The sequence below is a fragment of the Homo sapiens genome, chromosome 1 (assembly GCF_000001405.40).
Source record: "Homo sapiens chromosome 1, GRCh38.p14 Primary Assembly".
In the NCBI taxonomy this organism is placed as follows: domain Eukaryota; kingdom Metazoa; phylum Chordata; class Mammalia; order Primates; family Hominidae; genus Homo; species Homo sapiens.
Window position 1 is genome coordinate 173,223,024 of NC_000001.11, and position 27,819 is coordinate 173,250,842.

The following is a 27,819-nucleotide window of genomic DNA, read 5'->3' on the forward strand; positions in this document are numbered from 1 at the left end:
GTTAAGAGCAAGAGCTTTGGAGACAGGCTGGCTGAATCTGAATCCCAGCTTGCCTCAAGCTTTTCAGCCATAATGGAAGAATTATGGAAGTAACTGGGCAAATTATCTAACTTTTTTAAGCCTTAATTTTCTTATTAATAAATGTGGGAAAGAGTGTAATGACTGTAACTAGTACCTCAATTCACAGGGTTGCTGTGAGAGGATGAGATAATGCATGTAAAGTACCTGGCATACAGCTTTTAACAAGCATTTACACTTGTTATATTATTATCTGGAGTTTCATTCTGGCTGGACCAGGGTTTCTTTCTGGTAGCAATGAACATTTCCTTAAAATTCTCAGTCACAACTTTGTTCCATTTCAATTCATTTCTATTGCTTACCACCACTCTAGAAAAGAATATTTATTGAGTACCTAAGTCCACCCGCCCCCCCAAAAAAAATAAGCTAAAGAAAATAGTGAGGGAAACCATTGCATAAAGTCCCAAGAATAAAAATAGAGGGAAAAGACAATCAGGTAAAGGTGGATTTCAGAAGTTCACTGGAAGAGACGAATCAGTGAAGAGGGCCAAGAAAGACCAACTCTAGTTCTATTCAAATGCCTACGAAGGTTAGGATAACTTTTAATGTCATAAAGAGTTGGAACTTTTCCTTGTGTATTACTTTGTTGCCCTGTCTTCCTTTTCCTAGACATATCTTAGAAACCTACACAACCAGAAAAAGAGTGTATTGTTTTGTACAATTCAAACGAGTAGGAAAGAAGGGGGTGGGGGAAACTCTATCACGCCTCGTATCTTGTTCCAGCAAGAGCTCCAGGCAAAGGAGAGAAACCCCAGGGGAAAGAATGGGTGGTGGCCGAAAGCAGAACGTGGGACAGTTAATCCTGGGGACCCCCAGATGATGAAGAAGACATACACCCGGGGGGTTGCCTAGGGGATGCCTGTCAACTCAGCAGTAACGCTGCAAGGACATGCTCTAGCCCAAAGCCCCCAGGTGATTTCCTCCTCAGAAAAGGAAGCCTAGGATCACACCAGACCCACTAGACTAGAGAGTAAAAGGCCCTAAGCAGCACTAGGGTAATTTATTGTCCAAACATAGGACATTTTCAGAAAGGGAAGATCATAACAAAGCTGTGCCAACAGGTTACATCAGAACTATCCAGACATCCTAGTAAGTGTCCATTGCCCTATTCCATGCACAAACACAAAACTAGAAGACTAGATGTACGCTCAGGAATAAAGAAATAAACGAGTGTGGGTAAGTGATGAGGAAGGAAACAAACATTTTCTAAAAGCACTCACTGGTACTCCAGCCCTGTGTGGAATACTGTATATTCATGATCTAATTTAATCCCTGCAGAGTGGGAATTAGAAGGGAAGTGATGCAGCTGGAATGTGAACACTCATGACTGTCTGAAACGAAAACACTTATTTTTTTATGCCTCATGCTACCATCCTGGTCCCAGCACTCAACCCCTCATTGGTAGGCCGTAATTATGGTACTGCTCTTATTGAGGGCTTTGAAAACTCTTGCTGAGCACTGCATGTGGTAACTCATTAAACTGTCAGAAACATGCAACGCAGTAAGGAAAATCAGGTTCAGAGAGGTTAAGTAACTTCCCTGAGGTTAGACACTAGTAAGCAGTGGTTAGACACTGAGTAAGACAAACTCAGGTCTGTCTGGCTACACAGCCAGTGCTCCCACTCCCTAAGCTATAGTGAAGAGTAATGCAATTAAACTGGGGGCATGGGAGTAGGCTTGCAATGCTACACAGCATGAGCAGATGAAGAGAGAGCATGGCCACAGAATCACACTTTCTACCCAAACCTTAGCTCCAGTCAAGCCTGTCCTCCCTCCACCTAGACCCTCTGTCCACCATGTTTTTTGCCACACCTTTGCAATTAATTGACTACACCATTCTCCCATCTGGTAATCATCTCCCCTTCCTCTCTGCAATCCAAAATAGGCTTTATTTCTGCCACAGTGCTTTTTTATTAGTGTAGTTCTGTTTCCTGCCTGTCCTGGCTATAATTTTTCTTGGTATAGAGACTTTAACCAACTTTCAGAACTGTGTCTCATACTCCCCTTGTTATCCACAGCAACCAGGAAGTGAAGGTTATGTGGTAAGAAAGAGGTTGGTTAAATACTACTGGATTAGTTTGAATGTTTACAGAAGACCTTCTCCAGGCACCCTAACACTAAAAGAGGAATTACCCAGGAGAAAGGGAAGTCACACTTTCTCACTCATCCTTATCTTCTCTAAGTCTTTCCTGACTTCTAAACATCACCAATTCTCAATTTTCATAGGTTATGGTGGAATGGAAAAGTCATTGAAAATGGAAAATCATAAATAATCCACAAATTTTCATTTGATCATTAACTTTCTTCTCCTCATTTTGGGACAAACTTTTTAAATGACCCCTTTCTCTACACGTGTGTATGCTTGGCTTTGCCCTTGGTCCAGAATTTTTTGCAATGCACCAAAATTTACTAAACACTATCTTTCATAAGAAAAGGGACTAAAGTGTTTCTCTTGACCAACACTATTTTCAGTACCTGGCATATGTCGGTGTTTTAAGTATTCTCTGAATGAATTAGGCCCAAATGACAGATGACTATCTCAGCAAATGCTAGGTTAGACAGATAATACTGAGGACTAGCTTCCCTTAATAATTCCTGGATGCTATGTAAAGCCCCAGAACTTAGGTGCAACCAGAGTAAAAAGAGGAACCATGAATTGAAATTAAATTGCTATATCTCAGACCAAAATACATGATGGTGAAAAACAGAAATAGAAAGACAAAAATTAGGTTGGTTAAAATTCTTGAACACAGAGACTGTGGATGGAGAATCATACCAACTACAGATATGAAGGAGAAATAAGAATTTTTCTAATCATCCTACTAGAAAATATAAAACAGGCTATTAAGCACCTCATAACCTAGTAAACTCTCACTGTGTTTTATTCATTTTTAAAAATAAATTCATTTTATCTGAATTTATAAAATGTGAGTATTGATATGTGATCTCTTTTAAGTTAAAGAATGAATCAGGTATTTATTTGGGTAGGCATAATTTATCAGACCTAATTATATGTACATCATCCTTCATGTTTTTTCAGACTATGATCACACAATAATTTTTTGCATAAATGTTTATGAAACAGATTATCAGTTTTCCCCCAAAATCCATTCTCCCCTTATTCTTAGGCCCTTTGTCATCCAGCTAGAGACATTTCCCAGATTTACTGGCAGTTGGGTATGGCCACATGATTTATATCTCTCCAGTGGAATGTGGGGGGATGTGATATGTACACACCTTCTATCTTACTTGTTCAAAAGGAAATTGCTTGCCCTGGGCTTTCTCTCTTTTCCCTTTTTTTGTACTAAAACATGAATATGCCATATGATCCAGCTTTGACTATGCAAATGAGCATCTCTCCCTATGAGAAATTAGAGATATAGGGAATGTGGACCCATGATTGACCTCAAAGAGCTAGATGGTTACATGAGATATAAACTTCTTTCATCTTTAAATCACTGTATTTGGGTGTCACTTTTTCAGCACCTTAGCTTTTCCCATAATTAATACAGTTAGAGAGACAATTAAAGATTCATCAGTTTTCTCAAGGGCTCTCTTAATCTTTATGTTTCAAAATCATTCTCCTTTGAGTCATCTAGTCATGCTATCATCTCGACTAATTCACTCTTCTTCAGCTGTTAACTGAACTGACTCTGCCAGAGACTCCTTTTTCAAAAGCTTTAAGTGCAATTTAAGTATTTCTCTAATTTTACTTTCACTGAATTTTTGATATCTTGACTCTCTTACAAGATTTGCAGCTTTACTTATTACTTAATTTACTTTGCATTCAAATGTTTACAATCATGGATATAGAGAAAAGGGGAAGTATGCTTATATGAGAACTAATTTCATTATTAGCCAGTTCATTAATGAATATTTTATATTGTGAGAACTTTTGCTTCCCTTTATGACCTAACTGCAAGGACTTGGATAATACAACTTAAGTTCTCATGATACTTGAGAAAAATTCAAGAGGTGTTCAGGAAATGGAACATCTAGTCTATTCTTTTGTTTTTTTTTTTTTTCAGGAATACTTAACAAGCTTTAAATTTCATAAATATTTTTACCCTTCTCTCAAACACTATAAAGACATTAGAATGTTTAAATCTAATTAATGCCACTCCCTGAATTTAGATATTTTAGCTGCATAGTATTTTGGTTCTATCTTATTTTGATTTTTTCCACCAATTAAGCATTATAATTATTGTTATTTTATATTGTCAGTGTTTACTTATATTTGATTATATATTTGATCACCATTTCTTCTTGCATCTCAGACTTTCCATTCATCCTCAAATCCCTGAGAAGACTGGTCTAGTTATAAATTATCACGGTAGGGGCGGTTCCAAGTTGGCCAAATAGGAACAGCTCCAGTCTACAGCTCCCAGCATGAGTGATGCAGAAGACAGGTGATTTCTGCATTTCCAACTGAGGTACTGGGTTTATCTCACTGGGGCTTGTCAGACAGTGGGTGCAGCACAGTGGGTGCAGAGCAGTGGGTGCAGCCCAGCAAACGTGAGCCAAAGCAGGGCGAGGCATCGCCTCACCCGGGAAGCACAAGGGGTCAGGGAATTTCCTTTCCTACCCAAGGGAAGCTGTGACAGATGGCACCTGGAAAATCGGGTCACTCCCACCCTAATACTGTGCTTTTCCAATGGTCTTAGCAAACGGCACACCAGGAGATTATATCCCACGCATGGCTTGGAGGGTCCCACCCCCACAGAGCCTTGCTAATTACTAGCACAGCAGTCTGAGATCAAACTGCAAGGTGGCAGCGAGGCTGGGGGAGGGGCGCCCACCATTGCTTAGGCTTGAGTAGGTAAACAAAGTGACTGGGAAGCTCAAACTGGGTGGAGACCACTGCAGCTCAAGGAGGCCTGCCTGCATCTGTAGACTCCACCTCTGGGGGCGGGGCATAGCCAAACAGGAGGCAGCAGAAACCTCTGCAGAATTAAATGTCCCTGTTTGAAGAGGAGTAGTGGTTGTTCCAGCATGGAGTTTGAGATCTGAGAACAGATAGACTGCCTCCTCAAGTGGGTCCCTGACCCATGAGTAGCCTAACTGGGAGGCACCCCCGAGTAGGAGCAGACTGGCACCTCACACAGCTGGGTACCCCTCTGAGACAAAGCTTCCAGAGGAATGATCAGGCAGCAACATTTGCTGTTCAGCAATATTCGCTGTTCTGCAGCCTCTGCTGGTGATACCCAGGCAAAGAGGGTCTGGAGTGGACCTCCAGCAAACTCCAACAGACCTGCAGCTGAGGGTCCTGACTGTTAGAAAGAAAACTAACAAACAGAAAGGACATCCACACCAAAACCCCATCTATACGTCACCATCATCAAAGACCAAAGGTAGATAAAACCACAGAGATGGGGACAAAACAGAACAGAAAAGCTGAAAATTCTAAAAATCAGAGCGCCTCTCCCCCCTCCAAAGGAACACAGCTCCTCGCCAGCAATGGAACAAAGCTGGACGGAGAATGACTTTGACAAGTTGAGAGAAGAAGGCTTCAGATGATCAAATTTCTCCGAGCTAAAGGAGGAATTTTGAACCCATCGCAAAGAAGCTTAAAAACCTTGAAAAAAGATTAGATGAATGGCAAACTAGAATAACCAGTGTAGAGAAATCCTTAAATGACCTGATGGAGCTAAAAACCATGGCAAAGAAACTAAGTGACGAATGTGCAAGCTTCAGTAGCTGATTCAATCAACTGGAAGAAAGGGGATCAGTGATTGAAGATCAAATGAATGAAATGAAGCAGGAAGAGAAGTTTAGAGAAAAAAGAGTAAAAAGAAATGAACAAGGACTCCAAGAAATATGGGACTATGTGAAGAGACCAAATCTATGTCTGACTGGTGTACCTGAAAGTGACGGGGAGAATGGAACCAAGTTGGGAAACACTCTGCAGAATATTATCCAGGAGAAATTCCCACACCTAGCAAGGCAGACCAACAATCAAATTCAGGAAATACAGAGAACACCGCAAAGATACTCCTCAAGAAGAGCAACCCTAAGACACATAATTGTCAGATTCACCAAGGTTGAAATGAAGGAAAAAATGTTAAGGGCAGCAAGACAAAGAAAGGTCAAGTTACCCACAAAGGGAAGCCCATCAGACTAACAGCGGATCTCTCAGCAGAAACAATACAAGCCAGAAGAGAGTGGGGGCCAATATTCAACATTCTTAAAGAAAGGAATTTTCAACCCAGAATTTCATATCCAGCCAAACTAAGCTTCATAAGTGAAGGAGAAATAAAATCCTTTACAGACAAGCAAGTGCTGAGAGATTTTGTCAGAACCAGGCCTGCCCGAAAAGAGCTCCTGAAGGAAGCACTAAACATGGAAAGGAACAACCAGTACCAGACACTGCAAAAACATGCCAAATTGTAAAGACCATCGATGCTAGGAAGAAATCACATCAACTAATGAGCAAAATAACCAGCTAACATCATAGTGACAGGATCAAATCCACACATAACAATATTAACCTTAAATGTAAATGGGCTAAATGCTCCAATTAAAAGACACAGACTGGCAAATTGGATAAAGAGTCAAGACCCATCAGTGTGCTGTATTCAGGAGACCCATCTCACATGCAGAGACACACATAGGTTCAAAATAAAGGGATGGAGGAAGATCTACCAAGCAAATGGAAAACAAAAAAAGGCAGGGGTTGCAATCCTAGTCTCTGATACAACAGACTTTAAACCGACAAAGATCAAAAGAGACAAAGAAGGCCATTGCATAATGGTAAAGGGATCAATTCAACAAGAAGAGCTAACTATCTTAAATATATATGCACCCAATACAGGACCACCCAGATTCATAAAGCAAGTCCTTAGAGACCTACAAAGAGACTTAGACTCCCAAACAATAATAATGGGAGACGTTAACACCCCACTGTCAACATTAGACAGGTCAACAAGACAGAAAGTTGACAAGGATATCCACGAATTGAAATCAGCTCTGCACCAAGAAGACCCAATAGACATCTACAGAACTCTCCACCCCAAATCAACAGAATGCACATTCTTCTCAGCACCACACCACACTTATTCCAAAATTGACCACGTAGTTGGAAGTAAAGCACTCCTCAGCAAATGTAAAAGAACAGAAATTATAACAGTCTCTCAGACCACAGTGCAATCAAATTAGAACTCAGGATTAAGAAACTCACTCAAAACAGCTCAACTACATGTAAACTGAACAACCTGCTCCTGAATGACTACTGGGTACATAACAAAATGAAGGCAGAAATAAAGATGTTCTTTGAAACCAATGAGAACAAAGACACAACATACCAGAATCTCTGGGACACATTCAAAGCAGTGTGTAGAGGGAAATTTATAGCACTAAATGCTCACAAGAGAAAGCAGGAAAGATCTAAAATTGACACCCTAACATCACAATTAAAAGAACTAGAGAAGCAAGAGCAAACACATTCAAAAGCTAGCAGAAGACAAGAAATAACTAAGATCAGAGCAGCATTGAAGGAGATAGAGACACAACACCCTTCAAAAAAATCAATGAATCTAGGAGCTGGTTTTTTGAAAAGATCAACAAAATTGACAGACCACTAGCAAGACTAATAAAGAAGAAAAGAGAGAAGAATCAAATAGACACAATAAAAAATGATAAAGGGGACATCACCACCAATCCCACAGAAATACAAACTACCTTCAGAGAATACTATAAAATACCTAAATACTAGACACCTCTACGCAAATAAACTAGAAAATCTAGAAGAAATGGATAAATTCCTGGACACATACACCCTCCAAAGACTAAACCAGGAAGAAGTTGAATCCCTGAATGGACCTATAACAGGCTCTGAAATTGAGGCAATAATCAATAGCCTACCAACCAAAAAAAGCCCAGCACCAGATGGATTCACAGCTGAATTCTACCAGAGGTACAAGGATGAGCTGGTACCATTCCTTCTAAAACTATTCCAGTCAATAGAAAAAGAGGGAATCCTCCCTAACTCACTTTATGAGGCCAGCATCATCCTGATACCAAAGCTTGGCAGAGACACAACAAAAAAAGAGAATTTTAGACCAATATCCCTGATGAACATCGATGCAGAAATCCTCAGTAAATTACTGGCAAACCGAATCCAGCAGCATATCAAAGAGCTTATCCACCATGATCAAGTGGGCTTCACCCCTGGGATGCAAGGCTGGTTCAACATACACAAATCAATAAACATATTCCAGCATATAAACAGAACCAAAGGCAAAAACCACATGATTATCTCAATAGATGCAGAAAAGGCCTTTGACAAAATTCAATAGCCCTTCATGCTAAAAACTCTCAATAAATTAGGTATTGATGGAATGTATCTCAAAATAATAATAGCTATTTATGACAAACCCACAGTCAATATCATACTGAATGGGCAAAAACTGGAAGCATTTCCTTTGAAAAGTGGCACAAGACAGGGATGCCCTCTCTCACCACTCCTATTCAACGTAGTGTTGGAAGTCCTGGCTTGGGCAATAAGGCAGGACAAATAAATAAAAGGAATTTTATTTATTTGGAATATTTATTAGGAAAAGAGGAAGTCAAATTGTCCCTCTTTGCCGATGACATGATTGTATATTTAGAAAACCCCATCATCTCAGCCCAAAATCTACTTAGGCTGATAAGCAAATTCAGCAAAGTCTCAGGACACAATATCAATGTACAAAAATCACAAGCATTCTTATACACCAATAACAGACAATCAGAGAGCCAAATCATGAGTGAACTCCCATTCACAATTGCTTCAAAGAGAATAAAATAAAGTACTTTATAGTGTGATGCCTCCAGCTTTGTTCTTTTGGCTTAGGATTGACTGGGCGATGTGGGCTCTTTTTTGGTTCCATATGAACTTTAAAGTAGTTTTTTCCAATTCTGTGAAGAAAGTCATTGGTAGCTTGATGGGGATGGCATTGAATCTATAAATTACCCTGGGCAGTATGGCCATTTTCATGATATTAATTCTTCCTATCCATGAGGATGGAATGTTCTTCCGTTTGCTTGTGTCCTCTTTTACTTCGTTGAGCAGTGGTTTGTAGTTCTCCTAGAAGAGGTCCTTCGTGTCCCTTGTAAGTTGGATTCCTAGGTATTTTATTCTCTTTGAAGCAATTGTGAATGGGAGTTCACTCATGATTTGGCTCTCTGATTGTCTGTTATTGGTGTATAAGAATGCTTGTGATTTTTGTACATTGATTTTGTATCCTGAGACTTTGCTGAAGTTGGTTATCAGCTTAAGTAGATTTTGGGCTGAGACAATGGGATTTTCTAAATATACAATCATGTCATCTGCAAACAGGGACAATTTGACTTCCTCTTTTCCTAATTGAATACCCTTTATTTCTTTCTCCTGCCTGATTGCCCAAGCCAGAATTTCCAACACCATGTTGAATAGCAGTGGTGAGAGAGGGCATCCCTGTCTTGTGCCAGTTTTCAAAGGGAATGCTTCCAGTTTTTGCCCATTCAGTATGATATTGGCTGTGGGTTTGCCATAGATAGCTATTATTATTTTGAGATACGTTCCATCAATACCTAATTTATTGAGAGTTTTTAGCATGAAGGGCTGTTGGATTTTGTCGAAGGCCTTTTCTGCATCTATTGAGATAATCATGTGGTTTTTGTCTTTGGTTCTGTTTATATGCTGGATTACATTTATTGATTTGTGTATGTTGAACCAGCCTTGCATCCCAGGGATGAGGCCCACTTGATCATGGTGGATAAGCTCTTTGTTGTGCTGCTGGATTTGTTTTGCCAGTATTTTATTGAGGATTTTTGCATCAATGTTCATCAGGGATATTGGTCTAAAATTTCCAACTGAGGAACACAGCTCCTCACCAGCAATGGAACAAAGCTGGACGGAGAATGACTTTGACGAGTTGAGAGAAGAAGGCTTCAGATGATCAAACTTCTCCGAGCTAAAGGAAGATGTTCGAACCCATTGCAAAGAAGCTAAAAACCTTGAGAAAAAGATTGGACAAATGGCTAACTGAATAACCAGTGTAGAGAAGACCTTAAATGACCTGATGGAGGTGAAAACCATGGCACGAGAACTACATGACACATGCACAAGCTTCAGTAGCTGATTCGATCAACTGGAAGAAAGGCGATCAGTGACTAAAGATCAAATGAATGAAATGAAGCAAGAAGAGAAGTTTAGAGAAAAAACAGTAAAAAGAAATGAACAAAGCCTCCAAGAAATATGGGACTATGTGAAAAGACCAAATCTACGTCTGATTGGTGTACCTGAAAGTGACTGGGAGAATGGAACCAAGTTGGAAAACACTCTTCAGGATATTATCCAGGAGAACTTCCCCAACCTAGCAAGGCAGGCCAACATTCAAATTCGGGAAATACAGAGAATGCCACAAAGATACTCCTCGAGAAAAGCAACTCCAAGACACATAATTGTCAGATTCACCAAAGCTAAAATCTATACCTTGCAGGAATAAAGGTTACCTTGCAGATTCTCAAAGATGTATAATCAGGCAAATGATGCATTCAATTGTAAGTTTTAGTGTTCCCTTTATTTTGAGTGTTTTTATTCACATAAGTTGCAACTTTATTGCTCAGGGAAATAGTCGCTGAATTAAAATCAATGAAAAATTCGAAAGACTATTTCTTTTTTTGAGTCTTGGCTGAAACTAGATCCCTTCCTTACACCTTATAAAAAAATTAATTCAAGATGGATTAAAGACTTACATGTTAGACCTAAAACCATAAAAACCCTAGAAGAAAACCTAGGCAATACCATTCAGGACATAGGCATGGGCAAGGACTTCATGTCTAAAACACTAAAAGCAATGGCAACAAAAGCCAAAATTGACAAATGGGATCTAATTAAACTAAAGAGCTTCTGCACAGCAAAAGAAACCACCATCAGAGTGAACAGGCAACCTACAGAATGGGAGAAAATTTTTGCAATCTACTCATCTGACAAAGGGCTAATATCCAGAATCTACAAAGAACTCAAACAAATTTACAAGAGAAAATCAAACAACCCCATCAAAAAGTTGGCGAAGGATATGAACAGAAACTTCTCAAAAGAAGACATTTATGCAGCCAACAGGCACATGAAAAAATGCTCATCATCACTGGCCATCAGAGAAGTGCAAATCAAAACCACAATGAGATACGATCTCACACCAGTTAGGATGGTGATCATTAAAAAGGCAGGAAACAACAGGTGCTGGAGAGGGTGTGGAGAAATAGGAACACTCTTACACTGTTGGTGGGACTGTAAACTAGTTCAACCATTGTGGAAGACATTGTGATTCCTCAAGGATCTAGAATTAGAAATACCATTTTACCCAGCCATCCCATTACTGGGTATATACCCAAAGGATTATAAATCATGCTGCTATAAGGACACATGCACATGTATGTTTATTGCAGCACTATTCACAATAGCAAAGACTTGGAACCAACCCAAATGTCCATCAGTGATAGAGTGGATTAAGAAAATGTGGCACATATACCCCATGGAATACTATGCAGCCATAAAAAAGGATGAGTTAGTGTCCTTTGTAGGACATGGATGAAGCTGGAAACCATCATTCTCAGGAAACTATCGCAAGGACAGAAAACCAAACACTGCATGTTCTCACTCATAGGTGGGAATTGAACAATGAGAACACTTGGACACAGGAAGGGGAACATCACACACCGGGGCCTGTCGTGGGGTGGAGGGAGTGGGGAGGGATAGCATTAGGAGATATACCCAATGTAAACGACGAGTTAATGGGTGCAGCACACCAACATGGCACATGTGTACATATGTAACAAACCTGCACGTTGTGTGCACGTGGACCCTAGAACTTAAAGTATAATAATAATAATTTAAAAAAAGAAAAGCTAAGATCTATATCTTGCAGGAATAAAGGTTACCTTGCAGATTCCCAAAGACCTATAATCAGGCAAATGACACATTCAATTGTAAGTTTTAGTGTTCCCTTTATTTTGAGTGTTTTTATTCAAATAAGTTGCAACTTTATTGTTCAGAGAAGTCACTGAATTAAAATCAATGAAAAATTCGAAAGACTGTTTCTCTTTTTGAGTCTTGGCTCTCCTTTTGATGCAGGATTTTTTGCTCTTTAGTTCAGCTAAAATCTGGTTCTTGTGTCACAACCAGGAAAAATTAGGTACGTGGACACATTGAAAGGTGGAGAGAGCAGAATTAAAAGAAAGCTCTCAGAGAAAAAAGGGGGACCTTTCAACAGGCTTCCACCTCACAGATTGAATACCAGGCCACCACACATGAGCTGAAAAGGCCAGGCTTCTCCCCAATTTATAAGGCGTGGATTCCAGGTGGGTCCACCCCATTGTCCCAGTGCACAGGTGGGCCCTTAGTCTGAGCCACTCCATATTGATTTATTTCCCTTACTATGCATGTGTTCAGGGACAGAATGTCTTTGAACTTGACACATGAGTTGTAATGCACAGTAAAGTAGGAAAACCCAAGGAGCTTGTCTACACATACTACGCATGTGTTAAGGGACAGAATTTTTCACTGTGGGCATGTTTAGATAAGCTCAATGTGCACAATGGCCTGGGCAGCATTTGGCTGTCTCCTTCTCTATCACTTTTATGAGGTGTATAACCTTTTAAAAAATGTGTAAAACTTATTTTTATTTTACTGTATTGTGGCAAGAACACAACGTGAGATCTCAACAAATTTTTAAGTGTACAATAAATTATTGTTGACTATAAGTACCATGTCGTTCAGCAGATCTCTAGAGCTTATTCATCTTGCTGGACTTAATGCCTGTTGATTACTAACCCTCCATATTTCCTTCCACTCCATTTATTTTATTTGTTAAAATCATTTCCCTTCAAATTATTTTTTATTTTTAATTGTGGCAAAATATAATAAAATTCACCAACTTAAAAAAATATATAGAATCATTTGTTGGGACTGGTAGGTGCTATTGATGCATATATTTTTCTGCTGAAAAGCCATTCCTTTCCTAAGTAATTTAAATTCAGATCACAAACTAATTACAAGCCATGAGAGTCAATAATCTGACTAACCATCCATCCCCAGCACCTATGTGTTTTAGTTACTTTTGAATATTTCTACCAGTAGTCTCCTCATCTTAGCTTCAACACTCAATGGTCAGGGTTTATCACCTTTCTACAGAATCAATTCCATCTATAGATTACTCTAGGAAACACCTTCCTTGCAATGTCTTCAAATCCAGCTTCTGATCCTTGGTTCCATTATATTTGTAAGTTAAGTGCCTAGGAATTCCAAGGCACAGTGTTTTCTGGGGCTTCCTGTAAAGCAAGCACCAGTTATTTCAAAAAAAAAAAAAAAACAGGAGATAGTGCAGGGTTTGGTGATAAAATAAGGGGTAGAAGAGTTAGAAAAAAAGATGTTAAGAAATGTTTTGCATGTATACCCCCATGTTTATTGTAGCAACCCCATGTTTATTGTTTAGTCACAATAGCCAAAATATGGAATCAATCTAGGTCTCCAACAGCAGATGAATGGATGGAGAAAATATGGTATATATACACACTGGGCTATTATCTAGCCATAAAACCAATAAAATCCTGCCATTCACAGCACCATGGATGGAACAGGAGGACATAATATTAAGTGAAACTAGCCAGGAACAAAAAACTAAACACCAGATATTTTTACCCATATGTGGAAGCTAAAAAAAAGTTGATCTCACAGGAGTACAAAATAGAATGAATGGAGGATATTAGAGACTGGGAAGGGTAGGAGGAAAAGGGAATTAGGAAGAGGTTTGATATCACTTGGATGCAAGGTTCATTCAACATACATGATATGGTTGGGTTGTGTCCCCCCACCAAAATCTCACCTTGAATTGTAATAATCCCCACATGTCAAGGGTAGAGCCAGATGGAGATAATTGAATCATAGGGGTGATTTCCCCCATATTGTTCTCATGGTAGTAAATAAGTCTCATGAGAGTTGATGGTTTTATAAACGGGAGTTGTCTTGCACAAGCTGTCTTGCCTGCTGTCATGTAATATGTGCCTTTCTTTCTCCTTTGCTTTCCACCATGACTGTGAGACTGCCCCAGCCATGTGGAATTGTGCGTCCATTAAACCTCTCTTTTATAAATTATCCAGTCTCTGGTGTGTCTTTATTAGCAGCGTGAGAACAGACTAATACAATATGCAAATCAATAAATGTGAATCATCACATAAACAGAACTAAAGACAAAAACTACATGATTATCTCAATAGATGAAGAAAAGGCTTTTGATAAAATTCAACGTCCAAGGAACATACTTTAAAATAATAGGAGCCAGGCCAGAGCAATCAGGCAAGAGAAAGAAACAAAAGGCATGCAAATAGGAAGAGAGGAAGTCAAACTATCCATGCTTGCAGATGACATGATTCTATATCTAGAAAATCCCATAGTCTCAGCCCAAAAGCTCCCTGGGCTGAAAAGCAAGTTCAGCAAAGTTTTGGTATACAAAATCAATGTACAAAAATCAGTAGCATTCTTATACACTAATAGCATCCAAGCCAAGAGTCAACTCAGGAATGCAATCCCATTCACAATTGCCACAAAAAGGATAAAATGCCTAGTAATACAGCTAATCAGGGAAGTGAAAGAGCTGTACAACGAAAATTACAAAACTCTGCTCAAAGAAATCAGAAATGACACAAACAAATGTAAGAATATTTCATGCTCATTGATAGGAAGAATCAATATCATTAAAATGGCCATACTGCCCAAAGCAATTTACAGATTCAATGCTATTCCTATCAAACTACCAATGACATTCTTCACTGAACTAGAAAAAACTATCCTAAAATTCATATGGAACCAAAAATGAGCCAGAATAGCCAAGGCAATCCTAAACAAAAAGAACAAAGCTAGGGTAATCACATTGCCCAACTTCAAACTGTACTACAAGGCTACAGTAACCGAAACAGCATGGTACTGGTATAAAAACAGACACATAGAACAATGGAACAGAATAGACAGCCCAGAAATAAAGCTACACACCTACAACCATCTGATCTTTGACAAAGGTGACAAAAACAAGCAATGGTAAAAGGATTTCCTATTCAATAAATGGTGCTGGGAAAACAGCCTAGCCATATGCAGAAGATTGAAAATCTCCTTACACCATATCGAAAAATCAACTCAAGATAAATTAAAGACCTAAATGCAAAACTTAAAAATTTAAAAACCCTCGAAGATAACCTAGGTGATACCATGCTGGACATAGAAAATGGCAAAGATTTCACAACAAAAATGCCAAAAGCAATTGCAATAAAGCAAAAATTGGCAAATGGGACCCTAAAGAAGCTCTTGAACTAACAAGCTTCTTCACAACAAAAGAAACTGTCAGAGTAAACAGGCAACCTACAGAATGGGAGATAAATATCTGCAAACTCTACATCTGACAAATGTCTAATATCCAGAATGTACAAGAAACTTAAACAAACATACAAGCAAAAACACTACCCCTTTAAAAAGTGGGCAAAGGACATGAACAGACACTTTTCAAAAGAAGACATACATGCGGCCAACAAACATGAAAAATACTCAATATTACTAATCATTAGGGAAATAAAAATCAAAACCACAGTGAGATCCCATGTTACACCAGTCAGAATGGCTATTACTAAAAAGTCAAAAAATAACAGATGCTCATGAGGTAGTAGAGAAAAGGGAACACTTATACACTGCTGGTGGGAGTGTAGATTAGTTCAGTCATTGTGGAGTGAACTCAGTTTTCTCACCTGAAAATGCAGGGAGAAGTTTTAGAGGCCAAAAAAAGGGTATTAGATGAGCCCTAAGACCTCAGGGGGATAGAGAACAAAATAATTGGCTTTGGCATCATTCTAATTCAAACTCCAATTCTGCCACTTTGTGTGTATGATGTTCTGTCACTGAGAACATGTTAAGCTTCCCTGAGCCTGTTATCTCCAAGATGTTGATGGTGATTGCTACCTCACTGAACTACTGTATAATTAAATGAAGTTTCAAATATCCATTCTTGGCACTCAAGAAATGCAACTTTCCCTTTCTTCCTTCTTTCAGTAATCCACTCCAGTATTCAACACGTCCAATTCACATCAGAGTTATGCCTGCCCTCCAGAGCAGGAACAAAAATCTGCTGGCCCAAGGATCCATTAATAACTGCTGACACCCCAAATTAATAGCATCAATTTTGAACTTTCAGAAGGAAGCAAATAAGCCATGGTGGGAGGACAGTTAAGAAAAACTCCCTCTATATTTGGGTTTTGCTCTCTCAGTCTTTCAGGGTAACCAAGACCCAGTTAAACGCAGGGCATAGGAATCTTAATTCTTCTCTCAACTGAAATCATCTGTCCACCCATAGTGTCACAACAAATAAGGCATCTGATATTTATGAAAAGTTTTCAATATGTTCTGTCACTTTTTTCCCCCTAACTTCATTCTTGCAAAGATCCTCCAGGGCAGGTAGAGCAGATCCTGTTATCCTCATCTAACAGAAGAGATGTCTGTGATCAAGCAGCTTGGAACGGAGCTGAAAGAAAGGTGCAGGTCTCTTGTCTTGCACTCCAAGTTTCTTTCTGCATATCATGATGTCCTCAGTGTCTATTTGTCCTCACTGGGAGGAGTCCAAAGTGGCAATAAGAGAATTGGCTCAGTGGGACCGGGCACAGTGGCTCACACCTATAATCCCAGCACTTTGGGAGGCTGAAGTAGGCGAATCACTTGAGTCCAGGAGTTCGAGACTAGCCTGGCCAACATGATGAAATCTCATCTCTACTAAAACCACAAACAATTAGCCAGGTTTGGTAGCAAATACCTGTAATCCCAGCTACTTGGAAGGCTGAGGCAGGAGAATCACTTGAACTGGGAGGTGTAGGCTGCAGTAAGCAGACATCACGCCACTGTACTCCAGCCTGGGTGACAGAGCACGACTCTGTCTCAAAAAAAGAAAAGAAAAAAAGAGAATGGGCTCAGTGGTTGAGTCAAACTCCAAAAGTCAGTTTCCTACTACCTGGCCCCCACATTCAACAACTAGCTTCCTTCCTTCTTTCTTTCCTTCCTCATTCCTTCCTCCCTACCTTTTTTATTTCTTAAGAATAAGTACACAGAATTGAGTTAAATAAAACCCCACTTTGTGGCACACTATCATTATCAGTCAAGGTAGGGCCTCTTGTTGGCTGTATCTTACTTTATTATATTTTCATCTTTATTTCCCATCTACAATCCCACTTCCCTTTTCCCCTCCATAGACATTCTCTTTCCAATACACCTTTCAAACATCTACTTAGAGATATTTTTAAAATATATGGCATGTTTCATGTTGGAGTTTCAATTTAAATAAAAGCAATTAAATCTAAGTGCTATCCTGTTTCTCAAGTTATTTGTATTCAATATTATATTTCTGAGGTCTATCCATGTTGCTAAATGTAAACTTAAATTATTATTTTTAACTGATACTGAGAATCTGATCATACAATCACACTTTATATATTGCCTTGGCAATCAGTGGTCATCTAGTTTGCTTCCAATTCTTTGCTATCACAATTACCACTTGGCTGAATACCCTCATAAACATTTCCTTGATGACTTCACTGGGATATATTATGAGTAACAAAGGTGCTAGTCATGAGTACAAGTATGCTTAATTTCAAAAATTATGTCAGGGTGCACTGCAGAATAGCTGTACCTGTTCACACTGTCCCCAGCAGAGCATGAGGAACCCAGTCCCCTATCCTCACCAGCACTTGATATTATCTGACTTTCTCATGTTTGCCAAATGATGAGTGTAAAGTAGTATTGTTATTTTGAACAGCATTTCCTTGATTACTATTAAGATTTAGCATCTCTTTAGTATTTACTAACCATCAGGATTTCTCTTTCTGCCAATTGTCTAGCCACAACATTTACCTATTTTTTCTATTGAATTTACTATGTTTTCTTGATTTGTAGGAGTTTCTTTTACCTTCTAGCCATCTATCTCTTCTAGATTTAGACCTCACTATGACACACATACTTCCTATTTCTACAAAAGTCAAGAAAAAACTTTGTTGGGAAAGTGAAATAGAATGGAGCCTAGTCTTACCAGGAACCTCTCCCCAACCCCAACACATTCCAGAGACTATTAATGTAGTTTCAGAAGATCAGTTTACACCCAGTGAAGATACTGAGCTGCCTGTTAAACCAATTTCCTTATTCTCTGTCCTCTGCCACATTTCAATAATGTTACTGGAACTCCCTAGAAAAATCCTGTGACCCCCCTGATCTGAATATATATTGACTTCTTTTCCTTTTGCATGAAGAAGACGGTGCCTGCAGTTCTTAGCAAGGGACTACGAGCATCCATTTGTCTTTTATCCAGAGGATAGACCATACATTTGGAAAGTAAGCATGTGTTCTGATTACTCTCTATCCACAGCATTAGTAAAAGAGAAAGTCTGCACTACTCTCTATTCACAGCATTAGTAAAGGAGAAAGTCTGCAGCTTATAAAGAGTACAGGATGGCTGAGCACATGATGTCTGAAACTGCCCAGATAAGATTGGCAACAGTTTATTAGTCACATATACTTACAGGCTGAGGGAATGAATATACCCATGCCATGAGGGACCACACAGGGACAACAGAGTGAGCCAGCAGAGGCTATGGGAGGCAGGCTTAGAAGTGACAAGAGAATGGGGTGACCCTTGTTTCCTGTGGGAGGATGTGATTTGCTTGCTTGAATAATTTCATGGGCTGCAGGAAGGTGAAACCCATTAGGTGGAAGACGAGGTAGGGTGAAGCTGGTCTGGCTGATACGGGAACTGCCCAAGTGGATAGCCTTTTGCATTGCGTGAGACTCTGTTAAGAGCAGATGACATCTGACAAGAGTAGGGGAACTTACAGCCAGGCCTTTGGGGGCCTGCAAGTCTCGAAGATGTCAAAGAAGCACTTGGAATTTTAGGTCTTACAATATGTAATGCTTAGAGTTTCACAATGAGAAGTCTGTTTTTTCTACTAATCATACTTGCTTGACTTGAAATATATGGAAGAAAAATGTGCCCCTCCCAGCCTGAAGAGGGAGATTAGAGTGTTATAAGTGGATAGCACTCCAGGCCACAGTATTTTCCCGAGGATAAAGTTAGAGTGGCCAAAATACTCACTCTCCTTTTAAAATGATCATCTGGTTATGACAGAAGTATTCCTGCTTTTTAATCCACCCTCCAAACACCAAGAAACTGAGCCAGTATGGGGGCCCCGAACCATTCAGCTATTTAGAGACTCCCTTCTTTAGGCAGGACAGAGGAAACAGAAAATAACAGGATATTGCTTGACAATTAGTTTTATAGGAAATAGAGAACAGAATTCTTTGGCTACTAGTAGGTTCATTTTGCTTTGAGTAAAAGAATTAGAGTAGCACTGAGATCAGAGAAGGAATTCATTCTCCTGTGGTGGGCAGAATAATGACCTATGAGTATGTCACCTCACATGGTCAAGGGATTTTGCAAGCATGATTAAATTAAGGAACTTTAAAGATTAGGGGGGATTATCCAGGTGGACCCAATCAAATCACGTGAGTCCCTAAAAGCAGAGGACCTTTCCAGAAGTAGATGTGACAATGGGCAAATAGTCAGAGAGAGATGGAGTGATGTGGTTTTTGAAGATGGAGGGAGGAACCATGAGCCACTGAACATGAGCAGGCTGTAGAGACTGGCAAAGGCAGGGAAGCAGAGTGTCCCCTGCAGTCTACCAAAGGAGTGCAGCCCTGCTGTGAGACTCATGTACTTCCAATCTACAAAACTGTAAAATAATAAATGTTTGTTGTTTAAAGCCACTAATTTTGTGGTACTTTGTTATATTAGAAAGCTAAGACACATCCCTAATTTTGAAACAGTTTCTATAAGCTTTATGAAATTAACCAGGTAAGAAGTTGGTGGGTGGGGGGGGGGGGGGAGCACAAAAATAAACCAAGCTTGTGGCACATTCCACATTAATCATGAGGTCAACTTTCTCTCTGACCTCCTTGCTCATAGTTGCTTAATGCCTATTGCCCCAGGATCAAATAGACCTCTCACAAGATGGTAGTTCCCCTTAACTACTCTATAGACAACAACTTAAGCACTGTGAATTGTTAAGTTCCATTTGAGATATTCTTCCACGTCCTACACATCAATAAAACTACTGATCCAGCTGATCTGAAGGACCCAACAGAAGCCAACTCACCAAAGAATGCAGTTTCCACAGCCTGATTATTTCATCCCCCTTATCCCAACCAATCAATAATCCCATTTTCCAGCCCCTTACCCTCCACAGTCCTCTTAAGAGCTTCAGCCCAGAACTCCTTGGGCAAGTGGATTTGCGGGTCTCTTCCCATCTCCTCACTCACCACCCTGTGATTATTAAATTCTTTCTCTACTGCAAACCCTGCTGTCTCAGTGTAATTGGTCTGTTACTATGCAGTGGATACATGAACCTGTTGGTCCAATTTTGGCAAGAATAAAAATAGGCATCTAGCTATCCCCAAAACAAAACATGAAAAAGCTAGTCACAACTTCCACCTGGCAAAAACCTTAGCTCTTCCACTTTTATATCATCACCCCCTGCCATATGTCCTCTCCACTATCTGCTCATGCCTACTGATCAACACACAGTGGTGGCATCTCTGCTTCTTCTCTCTTTTGATCCTGAGTCCCAGGATACACTAAAACCTGCCCATTCTTCTCATATCCCTGTCTTCCCCATATCATGGGTTTGTGGTGAGGCTATTCTGCAGTCCCCTCTTTTATGTCTCTGCTTTCAGTTTTGTCCCCATCTACTTCACAACCATTTTAATCATTGCTCTGTCACCTTAGAGTAGGCTAGGAAATGTGTATCTTGATACATTATTGCAAGGAGTTTTCAAGAACAGGGAGCAGCTTCTTGCAATTTCCAAGTTCACTAAGCTTTTTAGCAGCCCCTTCATAGCCACGTTTTCTTCTCCTGATCTTGTAAATACTTGCATATTGATGAATCAATATTAAACATTCAAAGAGTGAAGTTTACATAAACTCTGAAAACAATGCATTTGACAGAATAAAATTAAGTCTATCGTTTTGGGAGTTACAAGACTAGAATCAAATAACAACATTCCAAATGAAATAGATTATGTATTATGTCTTAGGGCTGAGTCCCATGTCTGGTATGACATGGTAGAAATGAGGGAAGTGTCAGCTAGACAGTGCAACAGTTCCTAAATACAGCTAATTACATTTAAGCAAAAGCTTTGAGCTAGAGATGACTATTAAAACATAAACCCGGCCGGGCGCGGTGGCTCACGCCTGTAATCCCAGCACTTTGGGAGGCCGAGGTGGGCGGATCACGAGGTCAGGAGATCGAGACCATCCCGGCTAAAACGGTGAAACCCCGTCTCTACTAAAAATACAAAAAATTAGCCGGGCGTAGTGGCGGGCGCCTGTAGTCCCAGCTACTTGGGAGGCTGAGGCAGGAGAATGGCGTGAACCCGGGAGGTGGAGCTTGCAGTGAGCCGAGATCCCGCCACTGCACTCCAGCCTGGGCGACAGAGCGAGACTCTGTCTCAAAAAAAAACAAAAAACAAAAAAAACAAAAAAAAAACATAAACCCTCGAATTAAAAAAAATTGGGGGTAGCACATGGAGTTTTCCATTATGTTCACAGCCGCGCAAATGACCTTTGGATATGCATACACAATAAGTTACTTTGTACTATGTAGCTTAGCATAATCTGAATAACTTTTTGCAGATTGTGTGCTTGTGCATGTTTGTGTGTGTGTCTATAAGAAATGCATGCTTATAGAGTGTGTTACTTCTCAGTTGTTTCTATGTAATTGGATCTTTTCTTTCCCATTCTATTTTAGAAGGACATTGATAGATAAACCTGATGCGATCTTAATTTTATCTAATGTGGTCTTAACTTTATCTATATGATGACTAGTATGAGCTATACTAGATCAGTAGTTTTCAAACTAAATTTTTCACTTCTACAGAAGAGAAAAGGAAACAAGTGAACATGACTTAGAGGGTACCACCACACCTTCAATCAAAGCAGCTTCCTTTTAGTTGTTTTCTCTTTGATTTTGGCATATTCCACTTCAAAATAGCAAAAAGTAGACATTACCTTCTTTTAAAAATGTTTTAAAACCACTGGACTAGGTGATCAATAAAGATACTCATCTGTGGTTTTATAGATAAAAAATATTTTGCTGTTGCTGATACTATATTTATTATTTTTCTTGAATATTTAATTTCTCATTGAGACAATATTTGCTTTTATAGAGATTATTCCAGGTTCCCTTGCTTTCGTCCTCATTCAGAATATTCAGTTACTACAAGCAAAATGACAAGCTCTTTATTTGCTTTGTTTCGTTTTGTGTGTCCCTTTTAACTGACACATAATAACTATACATATTTATGGGGTACAGCGTGATGTTTCCATACATGTATACATTGCATAATGATTACTCAGGGTATTTAGCTTATCCATTACTGCATATGTTTATCATCTATTTGTGGTGAGGAAATTCAAAATCCTCTCTTCTAGCTATTTTGAAATATACAATATTGTTAACCATAGTCACCCTACTGTGCAATAGAGCATCAGAACCTATTCCTTCTATCTAACTGTAACTTTTTACCTGTTGACCAAAATCTCCCTAAGACCCCCTTTCTTCTCCCCTTCCCCTCTGCTGACCAATATTTTACTCTGTACTTCTATGAGATCTACTTTTTTAGATTCCGCATATGAGTGAGATTATGTGGTATCTGTCTTTCTGTGCCTGGTTTATTCCACTTAACATGTCTTCCAGGTTCATCCATGTTGCCATGAATGATAGAATTTTATTCATTTTGTTGCTGAATAGTATTCCATTGAGTTTTTGTACTACATTTTTTTTACCCATTCATCCACCAATGGACATTTAGGTTGATTTCATATCTTGGCTGTTGTGAATAGTGTTGCAATAAACATGGGAATTTCAAATACTGACTACATTTCCATTGGATATATGCTGAGTAGGGGAATTGCTGGATCTTATTTAGGGTAGTCCTATTTTTAATTTGAGAAACATCTATACTTTTTTTTATTTCACTTTAAGTTCTGGGATACATGTGCAGAATGTGCAGGTTTGTTACATAGGTGTTGGTGGTTTGCTGCACCTATTAACTGGTCACCTTGGTTTTAAGCCCCATATGCATTAGGTATTTTTCCTAATGTTCTCCATCCCCTTGCCCCCAACTCCCCAACAGGTTCCAGTGTGTGTCATTCCCCTCCCTGTGTCCATGTGTTCTCATTGTTCAACCATTTGACCCAGCAATTCCATTACTGGGTATATACTCAAAGGATTATAAATCATTCTACTATAAAGACACATGCACACATATATTTATTGCAGCTATTTACCATAGCAAAGACTTGGAACCAACCTAAATGCCCATCAATGATAGACTGGATAAACAAAGTGTGACACATATACACCTCTATACTATTTTCAAACTGACAGGTTTTTAACAAGAACTTCCTAAGAAATGCTGAACATAAATTTGCTGAATATGTTCAGCAATAGTGCTGATGAGTGAAATATTTTTACCCATTTATTAGCACACATACTAAAGTACTAGATGTAAAGATCTTTTTTTCCTCTCAGATCTTAATTGCCACTTATGATAAAGTATGTGCAAAAAATAATAATGCAACCTTGCAACCTCTATTCCTTCCTGGTCCCACACACACCACCACCAAAACAACCTATCAGTGTTAGTCTCTCTGGGTCTTCTGTCCTCCAGATATTCTCTCTTTTGCTTTTCAAACATTCCCAAGTCTAAGACAAGAACTTGCCAAACTTGGCAGTATCTCTACTTTGCCTATAAGGGCTAGATCTTCATTTCTATACCTTTTTTTCCTATTTCTATAGTGCCTCCTTCTTTTCCCAGGGAATCTAATGCCTTAAATATTGTCTCCTCTCCTCCCCTACCAAACCTTGTCTCAGAAAAAGATGAATAAACTCTATCAAAGTTTATATTGGCAATAAAGCAAAATGTGTCCTCCTACTCAGGGATGGGTGCCCTTTTAAGAGGGGATTCTGACCAATTAGTACTATCTGTATGGGCTGTCTCTGGAGGTAAGGAGTTCCCTGTCACTGAGTATCACTGCAACTAGCACTGGATAACCCTTAACATAAAAAATGAAAAAGAGAAGTTAAAGCATAGAAGGGTGAGTTAGACTAGATACGGTGTGAGATTTCCTCCAAACCTGTGGCTCCATGGAAAAGCAGAATACAGAGTATGTTCTGAAGGAGGAGGGAGAGAAAAGATACATCTGAGCTGAGTTTTAGTGAGTTTTTTTTAAAGATTAAGAGGAAAAATTATAAATTCTAGGGGGAACTGGGCCTACCCAAGATTCTCAACTGAGGGCATTGAGCAGAAAGGAGAGAAACTTAAACCTCAGCCAGTTGAAAATAGTGGCCACTGAATTCATCTTTTCTCTATTTCATAGTTTTACCTAGAGCTAAACAAAGTTTCGGTTATCTCTGACCCAGTTTGGCATTTTTTATTTTTTTTGTTTTTTAAAATCATCAAAACAAGGAAAAGATGGTAGAGATTAAAATGCTACATGTCTACATGTCTTCAGTGATGTAGGAAAGTATAAGTTTATTTGAAAACTTGATCCTACTTGTCATTCAAATGATTAACTAATTAAAAAGCTATTTAATTTGTCCCTACTATGTGCCAAGCTTCGTGATACATTTATGAATAGTTGGATATGGTCTCTGCCATCTCTGAGTTTATAAGCCAGCAGAAATGATAAGACTTTTAAACAAGAATTTATAATAAAGTGAACAAGTGTTACATTAAAGAAGTTCAAAGCCCTTGTAGCCTCATAGCTTACTTAATGAAGAAGAATAGAAAGTGTCCAGGAGAAATGAATATTTAAGCTGATGAACAGGACTTGAGGGGTGAGTGTTCTAGATAGATAGAACAGCATATGAAAAGTTCCAGGCCAGGCGCAGTGGCTCGCACCTGTAATCCCAGCACTTTGGGAGGCCGAGGCATGTGGATCACGAGGTCAGGAGATTGAGACCATCCTGGCTAACACTTCGAAATCCCGTCTCTATGAAAAATGCAAAAAAAATTAGCTGGGCCTGGTGGCACACGTCTGTAGTCTCATCTACCCAGGAGGTTGAGGCAGGAGAATTGCTTGAACCTGGGAGGCGGAGGTTACAGTGAGCCAGATTGCACCACTGCACTCCAGCCTAAACAACAGAGTGAGACTCTGTCAAAAAAAAACAAAGGAAGAAAGAAAGAAGGAAAGAAAGAAGGAAGGAAGGAAGGAAAGAAAGAAGGAAAGAGGGAGAAAGAAAGAGAGGAGAAAGAGAGAGGGAGAAAGAAAGAAAAAGAAAGAAGGAAGGAAGGAAGGAAAGAAAGAAAGAAAGAAAGAGAAAGAAGGAAGGAAGGAGAAAAGAAAAGAAAATTTCACGAAAGAAAGAACAAAGGAAGAAAGAAAAGAAAAAAGAAGTTTCACATGGGAGAGAGACCTTTTCAAGATGCCAAAGAAAATTAATCATGGTGGGATTATAAGTGGGTAGAGAAAAGACAAGAGAGGCAGGCGGGAGCCAGACACATGAAATATCTTGTAAGTCATGTTACAAATTTGGAGCTTATGGTAACAGCAATGGAAAGCTGCCAAAGTATGCTGAGCATACTCCCTGTTCGTCAGTGCACCTGAGAAGCCATTCGATAGCTAACTATCCTATATATACGGCATCTAGTGGCTAAATTGAGCTCTTTATTTTAATCTACTTGATTATTTTTTATTTGTTCTATGAAAACTTTTAAAGGTTTTCATTAATGGGATTTTAAGTAAGAACATGACATAATAATTTAAGTTTTAGAAGTTTTACTTTGACAACAACATGAATAAAAGATGAATGAGTAGCCAACTAAAGGAAAGAAGGTAAGAAAGGTAAATACGCAGGTTGGGGAAACAGTGGATGATCTTTTAGGAAGTAGAGTCGACAAGACTTAATTAAGTAGAAGGGAGGGATAGGGAGAAGACCAGAGTTAAGGATGAGTTTCTGGCTGGGACAACTGAATTCATGACAGGACCATTCTTCAAGGTGGAAAATACTAGAGAGTGAGCAGGTTTGCAGAGGCAGAAAGAGGTAAGCTCAGTTTTGAACATATCAAAATTGAGATACATTTTAAAGCAACAAGAGGACTTGTGAATGCCGAAAAGTTGACCTAGATATCAGGGAAAAGATCTTTGTTAGTCTCTGAGGACATCTCTCATATTAACAAAATGCAAGCTTGAGGGAACTATCCAAAAATAAAACTGTCCATTCAATTTCTACAATATCATAGCAAGGGAAAGCTATACTCTTAGTGTCTCTTAGAAAGCTACACTCTGGTAGAGCTAAGTGTTCTGTTCCTTGTGATGTCATTCTTTTAGCAGTGCCACACCCAGTACACCACAGGGTGGGAGGACACAAGAAAAGGGCAAAACTCAGCTGGGCTGTGAAGTCAGTGGGTGGACCTGGGCAGGGCACTCATGACTTCTGGAAAATAGCCTAAGTCTACCTAATTCCCAAGCACACAGTATATTAACAGTTCATGTGCCAGGACACCACAGCTTCCTGCCTTTAGCAGCAAGACTACACTCAGTACCAACACTTAGTATTAAATCTGCCTAAAGCCTTAGTAAAAATGGAGATAATAATAGTACCTGCTTCACAGAGTTCGTGAGCAGGAAGAGATAATGCATCATTAACACGAACCATAGTTCTTGACACACAGTCAACACTTAATAAATATTGGGTGATACTGGCAGTATCGATGGTAGTCATACTGATAACTCATAAGAATAATATGTTCTATTTCCCCCCATGGCACATGTTTACCTATGTAACAAACCTGCACATTCTGCAAATGTACCTCTGAACTTAAAATAAAAAAAAAAGTTCCTGAACCTCTTAAATCTTCAAATGTGTACTTTTCCAAAGAAAATTTAGTGCTGAGCATACTCCCTGTTCGTCAGTGCACCTGAGAAGCCATTCGATAGCTAACTATCCTATATATACGGCATCTAGTGACTAAATTGAGATCTTTATTTTAATCTACTTGTTTATTTTTATTTGTTCTATGAAAACTTTTAAAGGTTTTCATTAATTTTACCATTTAACACATTAATAAAATGTAGGTGAATTCTTAGTTTAACTTATAATTTAGCTCATCACCCTGAAACAAATTTCAATAAATTGAACAGATTATACTGAAAGAGAATATAGAAATAGAGGTTAAGAGACAGAAAATCATGTCTTATATGTACAAAGCTACCAGCCATACTGTCTTATTCATTTCAGTATCTCCAGTTTCATTTTTTGTTTTTTTGTTTTTTTTTTTTTTGAGACGGAGTCTCGCTCTGTCACCCGGGCTGGAGTGCAGTGGCGCCATCTTGGCTCACTGCAAGCTCCGCCTCCCGGGTTCACGCCATTCTCCTGCCTCAGCCTCCCGAGTAGCTGGGACTACAGGCGACTGCCACCACGCCCGGCTAAGTTTTTGTATTTTTAGTAGAGACGGGGTTTCACCATGTTAGCCAGGATGGTCTCGATCTTCTGACCTCGTGATCCGCCCACCTCGGCCTCCCAAAGTGCTGGGATTACAGGCGTGAGCCACCGCGCCCGGCCTCTCCAGTTTCTTAACACAGATCTCAATAAATATTTTTTGGAGGATTGAAGGGAGAGAAGTAGTATGAGATCTGGGGCTTTTAA

At 39.3% G+C, this 27,819-nt stretch overlaps 1 protein-coding gene and 1 long non-coding RNA gene across 3 annotated transcripts in view; both read right to left on the reverse strand.

Annotated features, from left to right (window-relative positions):
* Positions 1–27,819, reverse strand: part of TNFSF4 (TNF superfamily member 4) — a 277,864-nt gene that overhangs the window by 50,154 nt on the left and 199,891 nt on the right. The gene's annotated exons all lie outside the window — the stretch shown is intronic.
* LOC100506023 (uncharacterized) overlaps positions 12,037–27,819 on the reverse strand; it is a 242,096-nt gene continuing 226,313 nt past the window's right edge. Inside the window, exon 3 of the long non-coding RNA NR_037845.1 lies at positions 12,037–17,000. This is a non-coding gene — a long non-coding RNA (uncharacterized LOC100506023). The remainder of the gene's footprint in view (positions 17,001–27,819) is intronic.